This window comes from Homo sapiens, chromosome 4, assembly GCF_000001405.40.
Source record: "Homo sapiens chromosome 4, GRCh38.p14 Primary Assembly".
Classification (NCBI taxonomy): domain Eukaryota; kingdom Metazoa; phylum Chordata; class Mammalia; order Primates; family Hominidae; genus Homo; species Homo sapiens.
The window spans coordinates 168,743,948-168,768,602 of NC_000004.12; the positions used below are offsets into that span (position 1 = coordinate 168,743,948).

General features: G+C 41.8%; 1 protein-coding gene and 1 pseudogene across 17 annotated transcripts in view, besides 1 other annotated feature; both read left to right on the forward strand.

Moving 5' to 3' along the window:
* Window positions 1-24,655, forward strand: part of PALLD (palladin, cytoskeletal associated protein) — a 431,390-nt gene that overhangs the window by 246,896 nt on the left and 159,839 nt on the right. The gene's annotated exons all lie outside the window — the stretch shown is intronic.
* Window positions 11,851-12,534, forward strand: RPL9P16 (ribosomal protein L9 pseudogene 16; annotated as a pseudogene).
* Window positions 13,947-14,447: an enhancer, noted in NCBI's record as "H3K4me1 hESC enhancer chr4:169679045-169679545 (GRCh37/hg19 assembly coordinates)". NCBI's record gives its function as "activates a minimal SCP1, AML or CMV promoter by ChIP-STARR-seq in naive H9 embryonic stem cells {active_cell/tissue: H9 hESC(naive)}" and the evidence as "EXISTENCE:reporter gene assay evidence [ECO:0000049][PMID:30033119]".

Here is a 24,655-nt window from a genome sequence, read left to right on the forward strand (position 1 = left end):
TGAGAAATCTTTGCTATAGATAGAGGGGAATCCCAGAAAAAAATCTAAGTCTGAAAGCTCCACAGAGTTCTCTGCCTTTGCCTTCCCTGGAAAAGGGGTCGGGGGAGAGCAAACAGATGCTAGAAGCCAGTAAAGTCCTGTCCTCATGAAAGCTCTCAGCCCAGAGGACAACACTCTGGGGCAGTCACTTCAGTCATAGGATATTTCCCTCTCCAAATAACCGAGGAGAGAGCCTAACCTCTGGGGTGAGTGTGGTGTATAAAGTGTGAGAATCGTGCGTGTCCAGGAAGAGAGTGCTGCTAACAGATGACTCCTTGGGGGCCCCCTTTGTTCTCTGCTTCTGTTTGTATTGAGTCAGCTTGCTTAGGAATATAGATCAGTGAGACTAAAGTATCTCTGTTGGGCCAGTTCTTTCTTCTCTGTACCATGGTCAATCTACAGGGTGCCTGCACATCCTCCACAGCCTCGAGGTCACAGACTTACTCTCTGTGTCTCTAGGCTATAGAGCAGAACAAAACAGAGCCAAGACAAGGTGTCTGGAAAAACAGAACTCATGGTCTTCCAACAGGGCATCAAAGGGTTTCTAAAATTTAAAGCCAAAGGGAACCTCAGGGGTCACCTGGTCCAACCCCTCTGTTATTTTAGGAGGACAAGAGGCATTAAGTGATTCAGAAGACACAGTCTAGTGGTGGCAAAGAGGACAATTCAGACAGTTCCCAATTTACAATGATTCAACTTATGAAGTTTCAACTTTATGATGGAGTGAAAGTGATACGTATTTAGTAGAAACTGTATTTCAAGTATAACCATTCTGTTTGTCATGTTCAGTACAGGATTTAATAAATTACATGAGATATTCAACACTTTATTATAAAGTATGCTTTGTGTTGGATGAGTTTGTCCAACTGTAGGCTAATAGAAGTGTTCAGAGCACATTAAAGGTAGGCTGAGCTATGATGTTCGGTAGGTTAGGCGTATTAAATGCATTCTCAACTTATGATATTTTCAACTTACGATGAGTTTATTGGGCCATAACCCCACTCTAAGTCAAGGAGCATCTGTATAGGCTTTGGGGTCAGGCATCAGCTGGAATCCTGACTCTACCTCTTTAGTTCAGCTATGACCTTGAATAAGTCACTTAGACTCTTTAAGCTTTAGCTTTATTGATAAAACAAAAGTAATAATAGCACCATAGGACTGTTAAGAGGATTACATTAGAGAAAATTCATGTAAGGCACATAGCCTAATGCATGGCACTCAGTAAGTACCTAAAAATTAGTAGCAACTATTCATCTTCGTCATCATTATCATGATCATCAAAGCTGGAGCCTAGGACCCAAGCCTCCTAGCTCAGCATTCCTCTTACAACAGCCCTTTGAATCACCTTCATATGTCGTTAATACTTCATTGGGTACCCCAATCTATATTAGTTTAAGTACAGACTGTGGTGACATCATTAGTTAGAGTCTGTGAGATGGGAGGGGGGGGCAAATAATGATTCATTCTCTTAAAAAGGGGATGTAACACTTTTTTTTTTCCTTCTTCAACTGGAATAGTTAGGGATGTAACACTTTAAAAGAGCATGTTGTACATCAAGGTAATATAGGTAACTTAAATTTATTTTGGATTTTGTTTATGTATGGTTGCAATCCCATTAGAGTTTAATGGTATTTTCATTTTACAACACATTCTAGTGTGTTAGGAAGTATGTGTTAAGAGTTCTCTTCTATTTATTATTTTCATTACTTTCCCATTCCAGTATAGACATAGTAAACTCCTAAAATTAAGTATATTCTTCTTAAAGAATTCTAAGTGACCATTTTGGTGGAAAAACTACCTGCGCTAGTTTGCATGTGATCTAAATGATCCAAACTAATGGGTGAGCTTTGGGTGCTTGAGGACTATATGCAGGAGAAAAGAGGAGGGATGGATAAAACTTTTCCAATTTTAAAATAAAAATTATTTTCTGAATGTGCTTTAAATGCATCTGCTACATGTACTCAAGAATGTTGAGTCTGACCCCTCAAATTTATTCATTAAGTTTTGCTACATCAGACTACACAAAGGTCGGGAAATCATGTGTCCAAAATAAAATCAGATTTGAGCTCCACCTTATTCTGGCCTATACAATGTCCCTGTTCTTACCACCTTTTCTCGTCTTTCACAACCTTGAATCAGAATCTCTAGTTCAACATCATTTCCTTTTTTCCCTCCCCCACTTAAACATAAAATATAGATATGTGAATTCTATAAAGCCTGCTTGGATAATCAGCTTACCCTAATTCAGCTCTTTTCCTCATCAAGAGGAGGGACTTGACAGCTACTCAGGAGGCTGAGGCAGGAGAATGGCGTGAACCCGGGAGGCGGAGCTGGCACTGAGCTGAGATTGCGCCACTGCACTCCAGCCTGGGCGACAGAGCGAGAACCCGTCTCAAAAAAAAAAAAAAAAAAAAAAAAAAAAAAGAGGAGGGACTTCAAACCTTAGTGCTGGTAGTAACACCTGAGACAGAAAACCCGTGTGACACAGAATATGAGTCCTTAAGCAAAAGGACTGTCGTATTCATCCCTGTGTCTCTGGAGCTAGCACAGTCCTTAGTGCATTGTACATTTGAACAAATGTTTGAGTGAATAACAAGCCCGTTCTCCATTCTGGTTAACTTACGAGTACTGTACCAATTTTCTTCCCTGGGCGGAAAAAATTATGAACCATGGTTCTTGTGAAAGTTATTATTTTTAAATGCCTAGACATTCATTCCCAGAACTAGAAACATAAGAAACAAGTTGATACATCAAGGGACCAAGAGATATAAATGATAATAACTTGGAAATATTTAAAGTTGTAAAGATCCTGCTTAGAAGAGGGAAGTTATCAAAAGGGGTTGAGACAATAGTTGAATGACTGAGAAGACATTAATGAAAATCACATAGGAGTATGATCTAAGAAAAGGTACTTGACATTTTTCCAAGTGAGAAAACTGCATGATCAGATAACCATGCATAGGTTGGAGATGTGTCCAGAGAAATTTATTCCTGAAAGACAGCGATAAAGTACCAGAGCTAAAATAGTCCATCTGATAGAGACATTGGAGCTGAGATCTGAAATGATGCCTGTTTCTTATTAAGTTGGATTCTATTTACTACACATTTTTTAGTGTATAGATAGAAAAGGGTACACAATAGGTACCTAAAAGCAGATAGCTGTAATTACTACTATTTATCTTTTGTGCTCTGAGGTTTCTCATACTGTGTTGGTGCCACACTCTAATCAGCTGCATAAAAGGGTAGATCACTTGCCACCACAGAGGCATGTGGGAGAAGACAGCATGTCTAGGACATTACGCTGAGGCTGAGGCAGTAGGCAAGGAAGTCCAACCTGCAGGCTAAGAGTCAGTTTTCACTCCTGTGGGAAAAGCATGCCCAGCTCTCAGCAAAAGCATAGAAATCAAGAGAGAACAGTAAAGGCAAACAGGATATGTAGCCTAGTTCCAGTTGAAGGTATTATTCCTAACAATGAAAAATGTCAATATAACTATTTCCAGAGTTAAAACTTCAGACACATGCTATGACAATGAGACAGTATGTTTGAAACTACAGATGTCCAAGGAAATTCAGGCTATATGCTCACCATATGTAGAGAAGGCAGGGAAATTTAATTGTTTGTAGAGAAAGAGACCCAAGACTTCGTAAAGCCATGGGATATGGAGTTGGGGGACCTGCCAGTCACCTTGTCAGTTCACTTCATTTTATAAAGAAAATTTCTAGTCTCAGGGAAGCCAAGCAACTTTCCCAACCAAAACGTTAGCTTTGCGTTAAGAGAATTTTAGAGATAGATTATTAACATCTTGCGGCTGAGATACTGTAAATATCTTCAAGAATTCCAACATTTTGAGCAATTGTAACTCCCAGAATAATTATTTTTGCTATAAATATTTTGCCCATTTTATGGTAGTATTCCAGGGTCTTTACTCCCAAGTCAAACTCAAATATTGGGAAAAGTCGGATCCTTTTTCTTATCAATTCCCACTTCACATTCCCCGTTGTGATCAGCTTTCTGAATTTATTTGTAATTATTTCTTCAGAAGAGAGAAATATGGATAATGGACGGAGGAACAGGAGAAAATGTTAGCATATTGACACAAAGGTTTCAGTATTCTAAATAATCAAATATTTGAAAAATATATATTTTGTCCTTTTGCCCTAGAGATATAAATTGACACAAAAATATTTACAAAACACATTAGTAGACATCAATGGGTCTAAAACTGTGGTCCTCCAAACCAGCAACATCAGCATCAGCTAGGAATTTGTGGAAAATGCAAATTTTCAGTCTCACCCCAAATCAGTTGAACCAGAAACTCTGGGGTGGGACCTGGCAATCTGTATGTATTTAAACAAGTCCACCAGGTGTTTCTAACCACTGGTACAGACAAATCAGACAAGCATAACCAGATTATTGGATGTCAGTTCTAAGTAATATAGGGGGTGAATATATCAAATCCTTTGGGAGAATAAAAGCTTAGTTGACTTCTATGGTGTATTCGTTTCCTATTCTGTATAACAGATTACCATGAATTTAGTGGCTTAAAACACCCCACATTTAATAAGCTTCGTAAGTTCCTGTGGATCAGGAATCCAAGCATAGGTTAGCTGGGTCCTCTGCTTTGAGTCTCACAAGGCTGCAATCAAGGTGTCACTCAGGCTGTATTTTCATCTGGAGGCTCAACTGGGGAAGAATGGGCTTCCAAGCTCCTTTAGGTTATTAGCAGAGTGCATTTCCTTGTGGTTATATGACCGGGCCTTGGTCTCTTATTGGCCATTTAATGGAGGCTGCCCTCAGTTCCTAGAGGCCACTCCAGTTATCTGCCATGTGGCCCTCTCCAGAGGCAGTTCACAGTGTGGCAATTTGCTGCTTCTTCAAGGCTTTCAAGGCCAGCAGGAGTCTCTCTCTAGTCTGCTAAGATGGTGTCATATATGTCATATAACATAATCATGGGAGTGACCTTCCATCACCTTTACCCTGTGACAGAGTTTAGATATATGTCCCTGCCAAATCTCATGTTGAAATGTAATCCCCAGTGTTGGAGGTGGGGCCTGGTGAGAGGTGCTTGGGGCAGGAGGGCAGATCCCTTATGGCTTAGTGCTGTCCTGGCAATAGTCAGTGAGTTCTCGTTAAAAGTGTGTGGCACTTCCCTGCCACTCTCTCTCTCTTGCTCCTGCTCTCACCATGTGACCTGCCTGCTCCTGCTTCACCTTCCACCTTGAGTAAAAGCTTCCTGAGGTCTCCTCAGAAGCTGAGCAGATGCTGGTGCCATGCCTGTACATCCTGCAGAAACATGAGATGAATAAACCTGTTTTCTTTATAAATTACCCAGTCTCAGGTAGTCCTTTATAGAAACACAAGAACGGCCTAACACACTACATAATGTAACTAATTGAGTGAGTGACTTCCTATCACCTTTAAAAAAAAAAAAAAAATTGGTCAAGAGCAGTGGCTCACGCCTGTAATCTCAACACTTTGGGAGGCCGAGGCAGTTGGATCACCTAAGGCCAGAAGTTCGAGACTAGCCTGGCCAACATGGCAAAACCCCATCTCTACTAAAACTGCAAAAATTAGCTGGGCATCATGGGCACCTGTAATCCCAGATACTCAGAAGGCTAAGGCAGGAGAATCACTTGAACCCGAGAGGCAGAGGTTGCAGTGAGCCGAGATCATGCCATTTCACTCCAGCCTGGGCAACAAGACTGAAACTCCATCTCAATAACAGTAATAATGATAATTTCAACCTTTATTTTAGGTTCAGGAGGTACACGTGCAGATTTGTTACATGGGGGTATTGTATGATGCTGAGGTTTGGGGTACAAATGATTCTGTCACCCAGGTAGTAAGCATAGTACCCCAATAGGTAGTTTTTCAGCCCCTCCCTCCCTCCCCTCTCCTCTCATAGACCCCAGCATCTGTTGTTGTCATTTTTATGTCCATGTGTACCCAGTGCTTAGTTTCCACTTTTTTTTTTTTCAAGTTGGAGTCTCGCTCTGTCACCCAGGCTGGAGTGCAGTGGCAATATCTCTGCTCACTGCAACTTCCACCTTCGAGGTTCAAGCAATTCTCCCTGCCTCAACCTCCTGAGTAGCTGGGATTACAGGCACCTGCCACCACACCCAGCTAATTTCTGTATTTTTGTAGAGACGGCGTTTCACCATGTTGGCCAGGCTGGTCTCAAACTCCTGACCTCAAGTGATTCACCCACCTCACCCTCCCAAAGTGCTGGGATTACAGGCGTGAACCAATGCGCCTGGCCAGTTTCCACTTATAAGCGAGAACATGTGGTACTTAGTTTTCTGTGCCTGTATTAATTTGCTTAGGATAATGGCCTCCAGCCACATCCATGTTGCTGCAAAGGATAAAATTTTGTTCTTTTTTATGGCTGCATAGTATCTCATGGTGTGTATGTACCACATTTTCCTATCACCTTTATATTCTGCTGGTTAAAAACAAGTCACAGGTTCTGTCTACACTGAAGGCCAGGGGATTCTACAAAGGTTTGACTTGTGGTTTAGGATATGTTCACCATGTTGCAGAAATTATATATATATTTTTTAACAAAATTGGCCACTATTTAGTATGCTTTTTTCTTTGTACATGAAGCACTTTTGAAAAAAAGTCACTGACTACAGTCTTAGTTACCAAGTTGAAATCAAAGATAGATTTTTCTTCCAACTGCAAGAAAAATTCAGTGAGTTTAGAAGAAAAAAGTTATTCTACTCAGCTGGGTTTGACAGAAACACTATTTCTGTGGCCTCCTGTCCCCATCCCCTAGTTATGCCTTAAGGCCCTTCTCAAATATCTTCTCCAGAAAGACTTTCCTAATACTTCTAACTGGAATTGTTCTCCATTTTAGTGCCCATTTATTATTGTACTTCCGGTTTACTTTACCATTATTTGGATAGATGATTTGTCTCTCTGTCTGGTTGGTAACTGAAGGTAACAGAAACTCAGCAAACAGATGTTACATTCATGAGATCACATATTTTATATATGTGTGTGTGTGTGTGTGTGTCTGCGTGTGTATTTTTTTTTTTTTGAGATGGAGTTTTGCTATTGTTGCCCAGGCTGGAGTGTAATGGCACAATCTTGGCTCACCGTAACCTCCACTTCCCAGGTTCAAGCGATTCTCCTGCCTCAGCCTCCCGAGTAGCTGGGATTATAGGCATGTGCCACCATGCCTGGCTAATTTTGTATTTTTAGTAGAGACAGGGTTTCTCCATGTTGGTCAGGCTGGTCTCAAACGCCCAACCTCAGGTGATCTGCCCACCTCAGCCTCCCAAAGTGCTGGGATTACAGGTGTAAGCCACCGTGCCCAGTCCACATATTATATTTTTGAAGCCTCTCCGGCAGTATAATATATGCTAACATAAGGTTTGATGAATTATAAAAGCAATTAATTTTAGGTATTGGGACACACTAAAATCTATCCAGTGTAGATTTCCACACTGGGAGAGCAATAGCCTGTCATAGCAGCTTTGCAATCAGATAGCCCTGAGATCCATGCCTGACATCTCCAATTAATGGCTGTGTGACCTGGAGCAAGAAACTTAATGTCGCTAAATCTCACTTTCCTTAATAGAGTCATTACTGAATAAATATCAAGCTATTCTTAATATCAACTTGGAAGTATTAACATTTCTTAACACAGTTCACACCAGGGCACGGACTCCACAGTTTAACCTCATCTCCAGGAGGTTAGCATGCACACGTATCATGTTCATTCGGTAGGACAGTAACCTGCTAGCAAATGTAGACTAAATAAACACTGGATCATTCCTGTAGTTATTTATAAATAGTCTCCATCTTTGGTTGTGATTTTAGTGGTTAGAATACTAGAAAAAGAGTGGGTAGAGGGACAGGACATAAGGAATTCCATGTTAATCAGTAGCATGGGAAGGCTGGTCATTTTCACAAAACCAAGGGAGATGAAATAAGATTGTCCTAAACACTGTTCTGAGAATTACACAGAACATGAAAGGCTGCTTGGAGTGAGTCAGAGCTGGGATGTTATAACAGATCCGGGCTCTGTCGAACACTCAGTCCCCCTTGCCAAATGTAGGAATTCACAAGATCAGGCTCAAACTTAAAAGTCAATTTCTTGTAGGCTGGGTGCTCACGGCTGTAATCCCAGCACTTCGGGAGGCCGAGGCGGGTGGATTGCTTGAGCACAGGAATTCAAGACCAGCCTGAGCAACATGGTGCAACTCTGTCTCTACAAAAAAGTCCAAAAATTAGCTGGGCTTGGCGGCATGCGCCTGTAGTCCCAGCTACTCAGGAGGCTGAGGTGGGAGGATCACTTGAGCCCAGGAGGCTGAGGTTGCAGTGAGCAGAGATCACGCCACTGCAGTCCAGCCTGAGGGAGACCCCGCCTAAAAAACAAAACAAACCAAAAAGTCTATTTCTTAAATACCATGCTAGAGTTATGTTCATTCCTTGCAGTCATCTAATCAGTTCCCATAACTTTCTTGATAAAAGGCAGATGTTGCTTTTCCATAGAATAGAGATGGTTATCTTGGCCAAGGTGTTTATGCAGGAGTGCGGGTACTAAGATGATTCTAGATTTGTACCTTTTTAAAAGTCTGTTGTACAGTTCTGTGTTCTGAGATTAGGTGGCATTGTGTTTCCTTTTTACGTTTTTTATTCTGTTTCCACAGAGAACATTTACACACTTTCAAATGATCCTGATAACTATTCCATACATATGATATCATTGGCATCTATATACTTTGAAAATATGGTAGTAATTTTTTTTTGCCATTTATATCTACTGGTGACCCCCATAACTTGAAGCTACTTTTTAGTGACCACAAAACTTACTTAAATTCCCAATGTATATTATTATTATTTCCAGTACCTAAAATCTTTTAAAACTTATAGTATAAATAATTACAAAATAACTTTGAGGAGAAATTTAGAGAGTGAAAAGAGTAAGAGAGAAGAGAAACAAGAGGAGGAGAAGAAAGAGGAGGCAGCCTAGACTTGTGACCAAAGCTTTTACATGGGGTGAAAAAAAGCTAAACTATATTAAGAGTACATTTATGAGACAATGGCAAAGCGAACAAGCAAGAGAAAGGATTTTGACATATCTCAGTTGACATTATGAAAACTCTCATTGCTTATCCTTGGAGGAAATATAGCAACCACCTGACTACTCACAAGCAGCAAATGCTAGAGAAGACTCTCCCCTCTTAATATCAATAAACTAATCCCCACCTTACATGCCATTTAAGTACAAGGAGAAAGTAGGGAGGTATATAGGCTTTTAGTTCTTTTAACATTTGAGAACCCATTTTGGCCCCAAGTTTAGATACCTCAACATTTCTGTCACTAACCTTCTTCCCTCCCTCCTTCCCCTGCTTCCTGACCCCCCAAACCCACCCCTTTGTCTCTCTCTCTCCCCCGACCCTCTCCTCCTCTTCCCTTGCTTCTGAGTTGGGAGGGATTTGAGAAGAATGAACCCATACCAACTCCGCCCTAGCCAGCATTCAAGATGGCCCCATGAATCTTGTCTCCTGGTATTCATGCTTTTTCTGTAGTCTCCTCCCATATGGACTCAGAGTTGGTCTGTGTAACTCACAGGGTGTAGTGGGGGTGACAGTGTGTCACTTCCAAGGCTGGGTTAAAAAAATGCACAGTGGCTTCCTACGTGCACCCTCTCTGTCAACTTCCATTTTGATAGGATGCTCACTCATCACGTGTAGAGGCCCATGCAGATAGGAACTGGGGCCTCCCAGTGACGACCAGCACCAACTTGCCAGCCGTGTGACCGAACCACCTTGGCAATGGATCCTTCAGCCATAGTCAGGCCTTTAGCTGACTGCGGCCTTGGTCAACATCCTGACTGCAAACTCACGAGAGACACAGAGCCAGACCCCCCAGCTAGACCACTGCCAAATTCTTGCCTCAGAGAAACCATAAGAGACAGTTAATGCTTATTGTTGTTCTAAGCCAATAAATTTTGAGGTAATAGGTTATGCAACAAGTACATACTATGTAATAGGTATGCAATAGTATACAATAATACAAATACTTTAAAAGAAAAGTCAGAAATCTAAGGATAACAAATTCAGAGCTTTTTAAAATAAGAATGTTATCTCCCTTGAGTATTTAGAGCCTCTAGTAATTGTCCTTGTAGAATTTGAAGAAGGTTGCAAACTTTCCTTCTTTGTTATTTAGAGAAAATGTGTAACAAAACCTATAAGAAATCACTGCTAATCTATACCTCAGGAGCCTCATCTCCTGATAACTTTTTTTGGCAAAATATCAGTGCTCTTCCATTGTGTGTGTTCAAAGTTTTAGTCATCCTTACTTAGTTAAGATGATTATATATGAGTATACCTTTTAGTTAACTTCCTTTTGATACATGGTTTATTTCATGCCTAGGGTAATGATTGATGTTTATTCAAATGAGCTGATGTGGATGCAAGTTCCTCAGTGCTATACAGTAAAATTGCTGTTGACATCTTCCAGAACAAAACTGAGATAAGATCCTAATTGTGGATTCCCAAATATTACTTTTCAAATACTGTTACATTATGCTGACTATTATTTTCCATTCTGGTGCTTCTTAAGCTCATTACATGGTGATGATTTGTATATGGGAACAGTCTGAAGAAAAACAATTGTGTGATTTTAGATAAAAACAGGATTCAACCGAGATATGGAGTATCTCAAAGTAAAATGTGCTATTCCCATCTTTCTATTCTGTGTTTGGCTCCAAGTCCTTAAACATTCATTCAATACACACTATACAGATGTTCAAAGAATGCCTAGTGTGCATTGCTTAGTGCTCAACTGTGCTAAGCATTATTCCACACATGGGGATGGAACAATGAACAAGACAAACAAAGGTTCTGCCCTCATGAAGTTTACATTTTAGTCTGGGAGACAGTTAATAGGAAAACAAGTATAAAACAATATAATGTGGGATATTGTTAAGTACTAAAAAGAAAAGGGTGGCCGGGCGCAGTGGCTCACGTCTGTAATCCCAGCACTTCGGGAGGCTGAGGTGGGCGGATCATGAGGTCAGGAGATCGAGACCATCCTGGCTAACACGGTGAAACCCCGTCTCTACTAAAAATACAAAAAAATTAGCCAGGCGTGGTGGCGGGCGCCTGTAGTCTCAGCTACTTGGGAGGCTGAGGCAGGAGAATGGCATGAGCCTGGGAGGCGGAGCTTGCGGTGAGCCGAGATTGCACCACTGCACTCCAGCCTGGGCGAGAGAGCAAGACTCCGTCTCAAAAAAAAAAAAAAAAAAAGGGCAGGGTAGAGGGATAGACAATGGCTGCAAAGTTGAGGGATCTAATTTAGATGGAGGATCAGGGGAGTAAAATATGGGCAGGGACTTGAATTATATAGAAAGAGCAAACCATGCAGAAATCTGGGGGAAGAACATTTCTAACGGGGAAAGATCACGTTTTTAAGCCGTGAGTGAACAGAAGCTTGGCATGTGGGAGCTTAAGAGTAAGAGATGAGAGAGGCTGTCAGAGTACATAGGGCATGATGGGGAAGGGGGATACAGTAGAAGATGAGATTGGAGAAATAAACAGGAAACTTGCAAGCCCGGGTAAGGACTTCGGTGTCTATTCAATGCATGATGAGAAGCCACAAGAAAATTCCAAGCAAGGAAGTTATGTGATCTAATTTAATTTTTTAAATAGCACACTTTGCAGCTGCATGAAGAATAGTCTGGAGGTAGCGAGAAAGCCAGCAAGACCCCTTGAAGGGTTACTGTAGTTCAGGCCAGAAACCATGGTGGCTTGTGGGGTGGAAGTAGTTAGTGGAGGCAATAAGAAGTGATGGGAGCTGCATCTGCTGCAAGAATGAAGGCTGTTCTCAGTAATCAGACTGTCCACATTCCAGAAAATGTCGACATCACTCTGAAGGGGCACAGTTCTTGTGAAAGGCCCTAGAGGACCCTGCAGAGGGACTTCAGTCACGTCAGTATAGAACTCGGGCTCCTTGGAAAGAAAAAGCAGAGGCTCCAGATTGACAAATGCTGAGAAGATGGGAATTGGCTGCCATGCGTGCTATCTGTAGTCATGCACAGAAGATGATCAAGGGCGTTATACTGGGCTTCTGTGACAAGATGAGGTCTCTGTGTTCTCACTTCCCCATCAATGTCATTATGCAGGAGAATAGCTCTATTGTAGAAGTCAGAACTTTCTTGAGCGAAAAATATATCTGCAGGGTTCGGGTGAGCCCAGGTGTTGCTTGTTCAATATCCCAAGCCCAGAAAGATGAGTTCATCCTTAAAGGAAATGACATTGAACTTGTTTCAAATTCAGCTGCTTTGACTCAGCAAACCACAACAGCTAAAAACCAGGATATCAGAACATTTTGGATGGTATCTATGTCTCTGAAAAAGGGACAGTTCAGCAGGCTGATGAGTAAAATCTAAGAGTTGTACAGCTACAGAAACAAGATGTCAGATAATTCCTAAGACCTATTTGTGATATTTTAATAATGCAATAAAAGACAGCTATTGAAAAATAAAGTAGTGATGAGGTTTCAAGACATGAATGATGGGATTTGCTGATGGCTAGCACTCAGGATGTAAGGGAAAGAGAAGGATTGAGGCTAACTATTGAGTTTTGGTCTAAGAACTGCATGAAAGGTGGTATTTATGGACGTGGTGAAGAGTAAGGGAGAGCAATTTGGGAGGTGGAAGAGAACCGAGAGATCTGTGGCCAGGTTAAGTTTGAGGTGTGTTTATACATTTCCATATGGGAATGTCAAGTAGGCAGCTCGAAATACAAATCGCAAAGATGTTGGACTCAAGCTATAAACTTGAGAGTCACCACAGGAGAAATTGTGTTTAAGGCCATGAGACTATTTGCTGTCTCTTAAGGCAGTGAATGTAAATAGAGAGAAGTTCTAAGAACCGGCCTTGAAGCACTCTAGCATTAGAGGCCGAAGGTGAAAAGGGGTACCCAGTAAGATGGAAAGCCCAGAAGAGTTTCCAGATGAGGACGATGTTTCAGGAAGAAAAGAAATGAGTGATCCATTTTATCCATGCTACAGAGTGTCCAAAACAAATGAGGACCGAGAATAATCTTTTGAATTGGACAAGACGAGGTCCTGGTTGACATTCCAGGAAGGGGCGGAGACAGAGCCTGAGTGAAGTGTGTTGAAAGAATGAAAGGTAGGAAAGTAGACACCATGAAATACAAACAGATGTTTCAAGGAATTAGCTGTGAGGACAAACAGAAAACTGATACAGTACCCAGCTGGAAATGTTGATTTCCTCAGATTTCTTATCTACAAGGTGAAAAATTTTAGATAACTTCTAAATCCCAATGTATTACATTGCCAAGTCAAAAAAACATCCTAGGGTGAGTGCCTGAAAGGCTAAATTGTGAAAAAGAGTCATTACTCGGGTTGTTGATGTCCTAAATATGATGGTGTCATTACTGACTAGGGAGGGTGCTAGCATCATTTGTATCCAATGCCCATGTAATGATTTGAGATGACAATGGAAACGTTAAGAAATAATTTAAATCTATTATGAGAACAACTCTCATTTATTAGTTTACTTGTAGCCATTTCTGTGATTCAAATGAGCATTATGATTATTTTCTGACAGAAAGAACGAAATCTCAGGACAGTTCCATGTCCATCTGTAATTAGACCTCATGGCCAGAGGGCCACAACAGTGAGGTATGTGACACATCACCTCTGGGCTGCTGTAGCTGGGCGGCATGATGACTAAGTGAAAATGACAACGGCAATAGTAACAGGTGTCACTATACCACTTTAGAATTTACAAAGCCTTTTCATAAAAATTAACATATTTAGGCTGGGTGGGGTGGCTCACGCCTATAATCCCAGCACTTTGGGAGGCCGAGGTGGGAGGATCACCCGAGGTCAGGAGTTCGAGACCAGCCTGACCAACATGGCGAAACCTGTCTCTGCTAAAAATACAAAAATTAGCTGGGTGTGGTGGCGCATGCCTGTGATCCCAGCTATCTGGGAGGCTGAGGCAGGAGAGTCGCCTGAACCTGGGAGCTGGAGGTTGCAGCAAGCTGAGATCACGCAACTACACTCCAGCCTGGGCGACAGAGCGAGACTCCATCTCAAAAAATAATAATAACATATTTAATCATAGGGACCATTTAAAATGCTCTTTCATTTGTATTAAATTAGTTCTCCAACTCTGACAGTTTGAGCATGGTTGGCCCAGCTATCCTGATGGCTCCTTCCTGCTATTTTTTTTTTAATGTTTAAAACTCATCTTTTCAAGCTCAAGAGCTGTTGCTTTGAAGAGGATTTGAATAAGCATCTGAAACTGTTGGCTCAGACATTGATCCAACTCAAATTTCCAAAGCTGCTACCAGAATGCTTTTCCCATACAGATCCAAAATGAATGTGAAATGCTGCCTGTCCTCTTTCTCCTGTCTTCCTTTCAGTGACTCCACTTTCTCCACAGTGGCCCTCCACGTCAGGCAGCCCTTCTAAAGAATCCACTGCTTGGGTGTGTGTGTTCCCCACGTTGCATTCAGAAGGCACATCCATGCATCTCAGGCGTGTAGGTTCTTCAGCATGAATCATGCAAACTTGGTGAACCATAAACCTCTCCCTGTGGATATGAGTTTGTTGGTATTTTAGTCTGCTTGGAAACAGTCTGAGAAACATTAAACCCAGCTTTTTTGAGGTTAGTCCAAATTATTTTTTTAGACTAGAGAAAAAAAAATATTATGTCTCCTAAGGAAACTTGTAACCACGAACAGTAAATTTTAAATGTTTTAGAATGGTTTTCTTTTTCCCCCTCCCACATCCCCCACTTGTGCATAGTTGAAATCCCTAGTTTCTCTCACCAAGAAATACTACATGCTAGACTCACAGATCCATGGGCTGGGCCTGTGCAAATGGATTTCTTAGATTAAAAGTATAAAAACAAGGCTGGGCATGGTGGCTCATGCCTGTAATCCCAGCACTTTGGGAGGCCAAGGCGGATGGATCACCTGAGGTCAGGAGTTCAAGACCAGCCTGGCCAACATGGTGAAACCCCGTCTCTACTAAAAATACAAAAAAAAATTAGCCAGGCGTGATAGCAGGTACCTGTAATCCCAGCTACTCAGGAGGCTGAGGCAGGAGGATCACTTGAACCCGGGAGGCGGAGGTTGCAGTGAGCCGAGATCGTGCCATTGCACTCCAGCCTGGGTGACAAGAGTGAGACTCCATCTCAAAAAAAAAAAAAAAAAAAAAAAATATATATATATATATATATATATATATATATATATATATATAGAAACAATATATGCTCCATTATACTGACCCCACCAATCTTACCCTTTCTCCACTTTTCCAGTTCAATCATCCCCTAAGTATTCGTGTATAGTAGGATTTTAAAATGCACAGTACCATTCATGTGCAGAAAAGCACCTTTATTTATAAAATATGAATTCAACTTGCTCTACTTGGCAGGAAGGTACCTAGACCTCACTCACCTATTCAAGGAAACTGAGTCACTTCCTGTTTCAAACCACAGTTTTTCCAGGTTAACTCAATCTCTGTAGCATTTACCATATCCAGCCTCAAAGGACCCCACCCATCCATCCTTTCTTTGTTCCTTTGGGGAAAGAGGAACCTGTGAGAAGAAGAAAACCACAGGGAAATAAGACTTTGAGTTTGGAGAAGAATAAGAGAGCATTATAAAGTGATAAAACCTAAACATGGTTCATTAGGAAAAAGTGACTGAAATTCTAATCCTGTGCAGGTCCAGGATTATGAGGGAAGCAAAAAGAATGCCACTGACACTAGAATAGAGTATTTCCTGCTGGGCATGGTGGCTAATGCCTGTAATCCCAGCACTTTGGGAGGTGGAGGCAGTGGATCGCTTGAACCCAGGAGTTCGAGATCAGCCTGGCCAACATGGTGAAACCCCATCTTTACTAAAAATACAAAAATTAGCCAGGGGTGGTGGCTCACGCCTGTAATCCCAGCTGCTGGGGAGGCTGAAGCATGAGAATTGCTGGAACCCAGGGGGCAGAGGTTGCAGTGAGCTGAGATGGCACCACTGCACTCCAGCCTGGGCGACAGAGACTGTCTCAAAAAAAAAAAAAAAATTTATGTGCTGTCACAACTGCAAGGCATGAGGCCTCTCTCCCTCCCTGGCGTTTCCACATGGCACTTCCCCTTGTGTTTGACGTGTCAGCCTCTGTCCTCATTGCAAATCTCCTCTGCCTTCCAGCCTCAGTCTCTGTACAGACTCTGCCCTCCTCATCTTGGCTGCAGGGTTGTCAGGTTCTTTGGCCTTCTCATCTCACAGCCACAGGAGCGTTTGTGAACTTGTGATCCTCCCTAGTTCCCGGCTCTGGCAGTGGGTGCGGGGAGGCCTCAACACAGCCAGCCCCTTGGTTACTCTACTGTGACTACCTCCTTTTGGCTCCGGGCTCGGTGACCTACTTCCAAATACCAAATTGCAGCATGGGACTTTTCTGATTTTCATTTGCCCCCTCAAATCTATGAGGTTTCTATGATCTCTTTCATCTCTTCTCTTTCTCGTGAGTTACAAGGGAGTAGGGGCGTACCGGGTGCCTCAGAAGGAACCCAAGTAGCAATTTCACCATAGTCTCATCCCTCCAAATTTCTCCTAAAAAATATTCCCTCAATCCAGGATTTTTACTACTTCCCTCTGTGGAGAGAAACCCCATGTCTAACATCTGTCTCACCCAAGAGCATGCTGGAAAATTCTTTGGCTTCAAAGTCCAAAGATTGATTCTGGATATTGAATGTCCAGCTAAGGGAAACCAAGAAAAGACTTTTCTGTTTTCTCCTTCAGGTACCTGGTCCTTGAAATTGAAACCTAGACACTTATGCCTATTGTTTTTCTTGTAACTTTCAAAATCTATTTTGATGTCAAAATGGAACAATGGTTTTTTTGTTATCCATCGAGTTCTGCCCTTCTCAAGAAGTATGGATGGCTCAACCTCAGCAGATGGAAAGCTACAGGGAAATAGGAAGTACCATCTCAAGGAAAAGAAATGTGCCTCATTAGAAATGTCCGATGCATTTTTTGTTCTCAGTCGTTCTTGCAACCCAAGGACTGAGTTGCAAGTCAAAGTGTTTATCAATGTTAAGTTTGAACCAAAGACAAAAATCTCTGTTGTTCTTTCCTTCTTAGTAGTTCTTAAACTACTTATATATTAGAACGCTGCTGTGGAGGAAGAAATATTTTTAGTTTTTCATACGGAAAAGTTTTAAGACACACATTTCCATGGAGTATATTTTTCCCACAGTGTTTTCCAAAGCCTCTGTCTTTGGCTCAGCATTTCTCCAACTGGAAGTTTCACCAATGAGTCCCCTGTGTTCCTGTGGTCCGCTGTAGGGCTACTCTGGAGTCTCTGGCTTATTAGCATGTAAAACTCGGAGATTCTTTCCCTCCAGTTAAAGTCATATCCACAGGATTTACATGAAATATATTATATATGGCACCTTTCTTTGTAAGGTAGCTAGAAAGTGGCTTTGGGAATTTTTTTTCTGAGACGAGTCTCTCTCCGTCACCCAGGCTGGAGTGCCATGGTGCAGTCTCAGCTCACTACAACCTCCGCCTCCCGGGCTCAAGCGATTCTCCTGCCTCAGCCTCCTGAGTAGTGGGGACTACACGCACACACCACCACGCCCAGCTATTTTTGTTGTTGTTGTTTGTTTTTTTTTTTTTTTTTTTTTTTTTTTTTTTGTAGTTTTTTGTTTTGGTAGAGACGGGGTTTCACCATGTTTCCGCGGCTGATCTCAAACTCCTGGGCTCAAGTGATCCACTGCCTCCGCCTCCCAAAGTGCTGGGATTACAGGCGTGAGCCACCGTGCCCGGCAGGAAATATTCTATTCTAGTGTCAGTGGCATTCTTTTTGCTTCCCTCATAATCCTGGACCTGCACAGGATTAGAATTTCAGTCATTCTTTCCTAATGAACCATGTTTAAGTTTTATCACTTTGTAATGCTCTCTTATTCTTCTCCAAACTCAGTCTTATTTCCCTGTGGTTTTCATTTATAAGGGAAGAAAAGAAAGGACGACAAGTCTATTTTTAGGGATCCATTAAAAATTCATTTTTTAATAGTCCATAAACATTGCGAAGTAACTTGGGACTCATACATACAATTCTGATTATTTTAAATTGCTTCATGTGATAATTGCAAGCATTTATTGAGCATTTACACATTACTGAACTTAAAACACATAAAAATGCCATTCTCGGCTGGGCGCAGTGGCTCACACTTGTAATCTCAGCACTTTGGGAGCCAATCCAGGCAAATGGCTTGAGTCCAGGAGTTTGAGACCAGCCTGGCCATCATAATGGAACCCCATCTCTATTAAAAATACAAAAATGAGCCAGGTATGGTGGCATGTGCCTGTCATCCCAGCTCCTGGGGAGGCTGAGGTAGGAGGATTGCCTGAGCCTGGGAGGTTGAGGTTACAGTGAGCCAAGATTGTGCCTGTGCACTTCAGCCTGGGCGACTGGAGTGAGACCCTATCCCAAAAAAAAAGAAAAAGCCATTCTCTGGCGATCATTAAAAAGTCAGGAAACAACAGATGCTGGAGAGGATGTGGAGAAATAGGAATGCTTTTACACTGTTGGTGGGATTGTAAATTAGTTCAACCATTGTGGAAGACAGTGTGGTGATCCCTCAAGGATCTAGAACCAGAAATACCATTTGACCCAGCGATCCCATTACTGGGTATATGCTCATTGGATTATAAATCATTTTACTATAAAGACACACGCACACGTATGTTTATTGCAGCACTGTTCACAATAGCAAAGACTTGGAACCAACCCAAATGCCCATCAATGATAGACTACATAAAGAAAATGTGGCACATATACATGATGGAATACTATGCAGCCATAAGAAAGGATGAATTCATGTCCTTTGCAGGGATATGGATGAAGCTGGAAACCATTATTCTCAGCAAACTAACACAGGAACAGAAAACCAAACACCACATGTTCTCACTCATAAGTGGGAGTTGAACAATGAGAACACATGGACACAGGGAGGGGAACATCACACACTGGGGCCTGTTGGGGTAGGGGGCAAAGGGAGGGAAGCATTAGGAGAAATACCTAATGTAGATAACAGGTTGATGGGTGCAGCAAACCACCATGGCACATGTATACCTATGTAACAAACGTGGACATTCTGCACGTGTATCCCAGAAGGTAAAGTATAACTTTAAAAATGCCATTCTCTACAGAATTTGATAAATTTTTAATCTCAGAGCTTGAAATCAGTTACAACACTGTTTTAATCTATGAAATTATTTCAGTGTCTTTCTATGAAATTTAGACCCAATCTTCAGATACCATAGAGTACCTACTATGTGCCGGGTGCTCTAATTAGAATCTTCCATTTCATTGTCATTTAATTCTCACAAGAACCCTGCTAAGCAGGTGGCATTATCTCCTTTCCACCTGTGAGGAAACAGGTTCACAGCCGTTCCACAGCCCCAAGCCTCACATGGAGTAAGAGGTTGAGTAAGATCTGAAGACACATGGCACTTTTAGGCCACACAGTGTCCAAGGTATTTAAATGAAGTAGATGACTGAGTGTTTTTTAAGCCACACACTTACAGAAAAGACACTAGGAGATGAGCAGAAGGTGTTTCCCTGGAGATGCTGCCCTGGTACCACAGCAGCAGGAGGTGGGACAAGCTGACTTCTACTCTGAGTGAGTTAAGAACCTCAGGGCTGCTCTGGGATAGAGACAGCATGAACACCAGTGCATGGAGCCATTGTACCCTGGCCATGGTTTTTGTTTTAGATCAGCATCAGGTTCAGAAATCCAGAACCAAAAAGAAATGAATGCAACTCCCATTCCATCAGGTCAGGAGTGACCAGGCCTCCCACAGACCTTTGCCTGTTTCCTCCCCAAGCGAGCCTCAGAGCCTTAGAAGCCCTCTCCCACATGGTCTTGTATTAAATCATGTTCTTCTAGGTCAAATAACAAGGGTCCGTTATTCATGCCTCTGTTTATTTATTCATATGTGTATTCATTTTATTCACCTATAAATATTTACTGCAGTAATATTAACCAGCGTCCTTGTGGATATCAGAGTGCCACGGATATAAATATGGGAAGAAAAAGAAACCACTTTAAAGAAAAAAATTCTTTTAGAGAGTATACTTACTATATGTCTTCTTATAGATATGGGACTTTGTCAATGGTGAGTGCTCAGTAAATATTCAGAGACGAATAAAATGAATAAACGTATGAATGAACAGAGGAGTGAATAATGGACCCTTGTTACTTGACCTGAGAGAACATAATTTAATACAGGACCAATTTCTATCATTTTCCTATAAGTAATGTATTTCTATATTACATATGATATTTTGATATAAATTATATTTTATAAGTAAATCACCTCTAGGCTGGAAAACTCACCCTATGTTGGCCCCTAGGAACATTTAAAAAAATTTTTTTAGAAACAGGATCTTTCTATGTTGTCCAGGCTGGAGCACAATAGCTATTCACAGGTGCAGTCATAGCACACTACGGCCTCAAATTCCTGGGCTCAAGAGATTCTCTTACCTCAACCTCCAGAGTAGCTCCGACTACAGATGTGTGCCACTGTGCCCAACTTTTAGAGATTTTTTTTTTCTGGCTCAGAAAAAATCCCTCTCAGTATGTTTATTCCAAACCCTTTCTAACAGGTGTCCATGCGTTAGGCAAAAAGCCTTACAGCTTCTCAGATTCTTCTCAGATTCAAAGATTCATCTGTATTCATCATTTGAGATTCATCTCAAAGACTTGCTTAGAGATGACCGTACCATCTCTAAGCAAGTTTTCCTTTCTCTCTAACCTGCTCCTTTGGTTCCCGCACCTCTCTTGGCTCCAGGTGTCAATAAACAACACCTTTGTCAGCTCTTTCCATTGCCTCCTCCTGGTCAGAGCATGCTGAGTGAGCTTCACTTAAAGCCTCACTTTTGCATCGGATAACTTTTTCTCATTTGAATCGAGGGTTTATACACTGCCCAATATACCATATCCAATATAAACAGGAAAGAACATGATTTCTTTGTAGTAGGTAGCCTCCCTTCTAGGTCTTCTTTTACAGTGTGATGGTTATCAGGCTTAGGAATCAGAAAAAGTTAGTCTGAATCTAATCTCTAGTCCTTAGCTTTAACCTGGGCAAGTTATTGCCATCATCTGAAAAATGAAGATAAAAAGAATGATGAACAAATGAGATCACATATGCAAAACATACAGCACAATATTTGAAAATAGAGAAGGTTTAGTAAATGGAAGCGATGATGCTGAAGGAGGGAGAAGGAAAAACAGAGTAGAAGAAGAAGAGGAGAAAATTGCTAAATAATGAGTAGCCATCTTGAGAGACAGAGAGCGTGGCCCAGAGGACATGAGAGATTAGGAACTGCTGCGTTTTATAGGGAAAGGGAACACAAGGGTAGGAATGTACTGGAAATTCCATCCAAAGAGGACTCAAGGTAATGCAAGTCAGAATGGGTACTTGGGAGCATGGGATGACCTCAGAGCCAAGGTGATATTACATCCCACTGTCACCCACTTCACACTGTGGTCTTAATTTAGCTACACGTTCATGGACAAGAAGTTCAGAGCCAGCTCACACTGCAGAACTGGGTTCCGGTTTTATAAGCTAACTTACTGTTTGCCACAGATTGTAACCTCTTTCCCAAAGAACAGACATACCAGGAGCCAGAAAGTAGCTTTTAATTAATGAATTTGTCATCTGCTGCTCAGTGGTAATGAGGGAAATCCTGTGCCATACATTCTTTTAAGTGTAGATTCAGGATCTGGATATGTACTAGTGAGGTCAGCAATTCAGCCCTTTACCTCTGATTGTGGGCCAAATAAATGGCTGAATTACTCATGGGGGTGTGGATTTTGTTAAGTGTGGTGGGTAGGGGTTGGGAGGAAGAGAAGAGGGTGTGTCTTTCTTGGCATAGGCCAAAATGAATGAAAATGCTTTGAATGTTATTATAATCTATTCTGTGACCATGTCCAGGTGGCTTTCTGCCATGGCTCTGGGCACACCCATATGGACTTAGTCCCTTTCTGTAGGGATTTCACAGTTTCTGGTTGGCAGAGTAAGGACCCAAGCAGGAAGATTTTCTTCCCCACCCAACACACCCCTGAATCCTGCCAAATGTGAGGTGTGGGAGTGATAATATCAACGCAATAATACCAATAGTAACCACAATAGGTTCTTAAGAAACTGGAAAAGGGTACTGAGAAGTTTTTTCCACCTTTTTTGTATGCCTAGTTTGCTACATTGCTCCTAAGTTCCTAGACTTCTGGGCAGCTCTGCCTATGGAATAGCCATTCTTTTACTCCTTTACTTTCTTAATAAACTTGCTTTCACTTAAAAAATAATAAGTTCCTAGACTTCTCTTTAGTGAATACTAGAGCTCTACCTGAAAGAACCCACATTTTCAGGTCAATTCCCAAAACTCAAATGGTAGTGTCATGGACTTGAAAGCAGTCTTAGGGACTGTCCATTCCAACATTCTGCCCATCACAGACATTCCCTGGGAGCACCCAAGGCAGGCGGTTGTCCAGCCTGTGAATGGACACATGCAGAGACGGAGAGCCTGTTTCCTGAGAAGGCCAAGCCATGATGGGCATCTGTAGTGGCTGCAAGACAGCATAATGCGGGGGAAAGAGTATAGGATTGGGAGGCATGGGAATTGGTTCAGTGCTTGTTCTTCCACTGACCAGCTGAACGACCTTCGGGAGAAGTCACTGCGCCTTAGAATGAGTCACTTATCAACTATGAAGCTGTTGGATATGATCTCAGTCATTCTAGCAATAACATGGTCATTTAAAGTTGTTTTTCTACGTCTAGCCAAAACTGGCCTCCTGTAACTGCCAGCTATTGGTGTTAGTTCTAATTTTGAGAAATGTAGAGGATGGGTCTTATCTCATTGGTGTGGCAGCTCATCAAGTATTTAAAGATGGCTGCAATGACCCTGTAAGTTATCTCTTCTTTAGTATAAACATCTCAAGATACTGTAAATCTTCCTTTTATGACTTGGCTTTCAGAAATCTTCCTCCTCCTGACAGTCCTCTTCCAGACAGACTCAACTCTTTAAATTATGGTCCCTAGAATTGGATGCAACATTTCACAACCGGCCAAATAAGAGCCCAGGAAGTACTGGGACTGTAACAACCCAACCCTCCACAACTATCTCTGCCTTTCATCTAGACCCTGTGCTGCTTTTCACTTAAGTTTGCCTTTGCGTTAGTTATTTCAGCCTCCATCGTCATCTCATGCCACAGACTGTGCCTGTGGTTGGGTACAGCCACCAGGCCCTTACACATGACCTGCTCTCCAGCCACTTCTCCCCTGTTCTGGACAAACACATAGAATGATTTCCCCCTTTTCACTATACAATTAATATATATGCATAGTAATGTAGAAAGCTGAACAATAGCTGCCCAAATTGCAGTATCCAGAGATAACATTGTTAACTTAGGCTAATACCAGTAAATTATTTTTAATAACAATGTCAGCATTCATGGTTTTCCTTACATACTGAGGTTTATTTACTCCCTGTCTCTGATTTTTTTTTTTTTTTTTTTTCCGAGACAGAGTTTCGCTCTTGTTGCCCAGGCTGGCCTGCAGTGGCGCGATCTCAGCTCACCACAACCTCCGCCTCCCGGGTTCAAGCGATTCTCCTGCCTCAGCCTCCCAAGTAGCTGGGATTACGGGGATGTACCACCACACCTGGCTAATTTTGTATTTTTAGTAGAGATGGGGTTTCTCTATGTTGGTTAGGCTGGTCTCAAACTCCCAACCTCAGGTAATCCACCTGCCTCGGCCGCCCAAAGTGCTGGGATTACAGGCATGAGCCACCGTGCCCAGCCTCTGATCTTATATCATTCCTCTTACCCTCAGTGGAAGACCTCAGTCCAAGCCTGGCTTTCACCCCTACACCAGCCCATCTTTCCAGCCTTGTCTCCACCATTGCCCAGCTGTTATCCATACCCACCATGGTTCAGACTTCCATACTCCCTGTAAGCTCCTAGAATCTTCCCTCATCTCCCTCATTTGACCTTTTGGAAAACCTCCTGTTCATCCTTCAAGACGTAGTTCAAATGTTACCTCTTCCGTGAAGTTTACCCGACTTCCTCTCCCATCCGCATTCCACTGGAATCCCCGGTTCTTTTATCTATATTTCTGTTGATCTTTGATACTACTCTTTTATAACACATGAGATTGTAATTAATTGGATGCACCTGACCACAATCAAGTCCTACCCTGGGAGCCACAATATCATTGGGCAAACTTTAGTCTATTGTCCAAACTGTAGCATATAAAAGCCGTGTCAAAAAAGGAAAAGCTAAAACATCCGCTCTACCTGTGAGTGCTCTTCTTTGAATGTTCACATTAATTACCCTGAACCTGGAACACTTTGTTTTAAGACATGGATGATCAGACGGTGGAATAAAGGTCAAGATGAAGGATAGAGGGAAGAAACAAAGATATGTTCTATTTAGTAGGTTCAGGGCAATTCGTTTCAGAAAAGTTTCTTACATTTATATACTACATGCATGACTATATGCATATGATCTATTTATTAAAATTGTTTTTATTCAGCATGTGTCACATAGACCCAATTT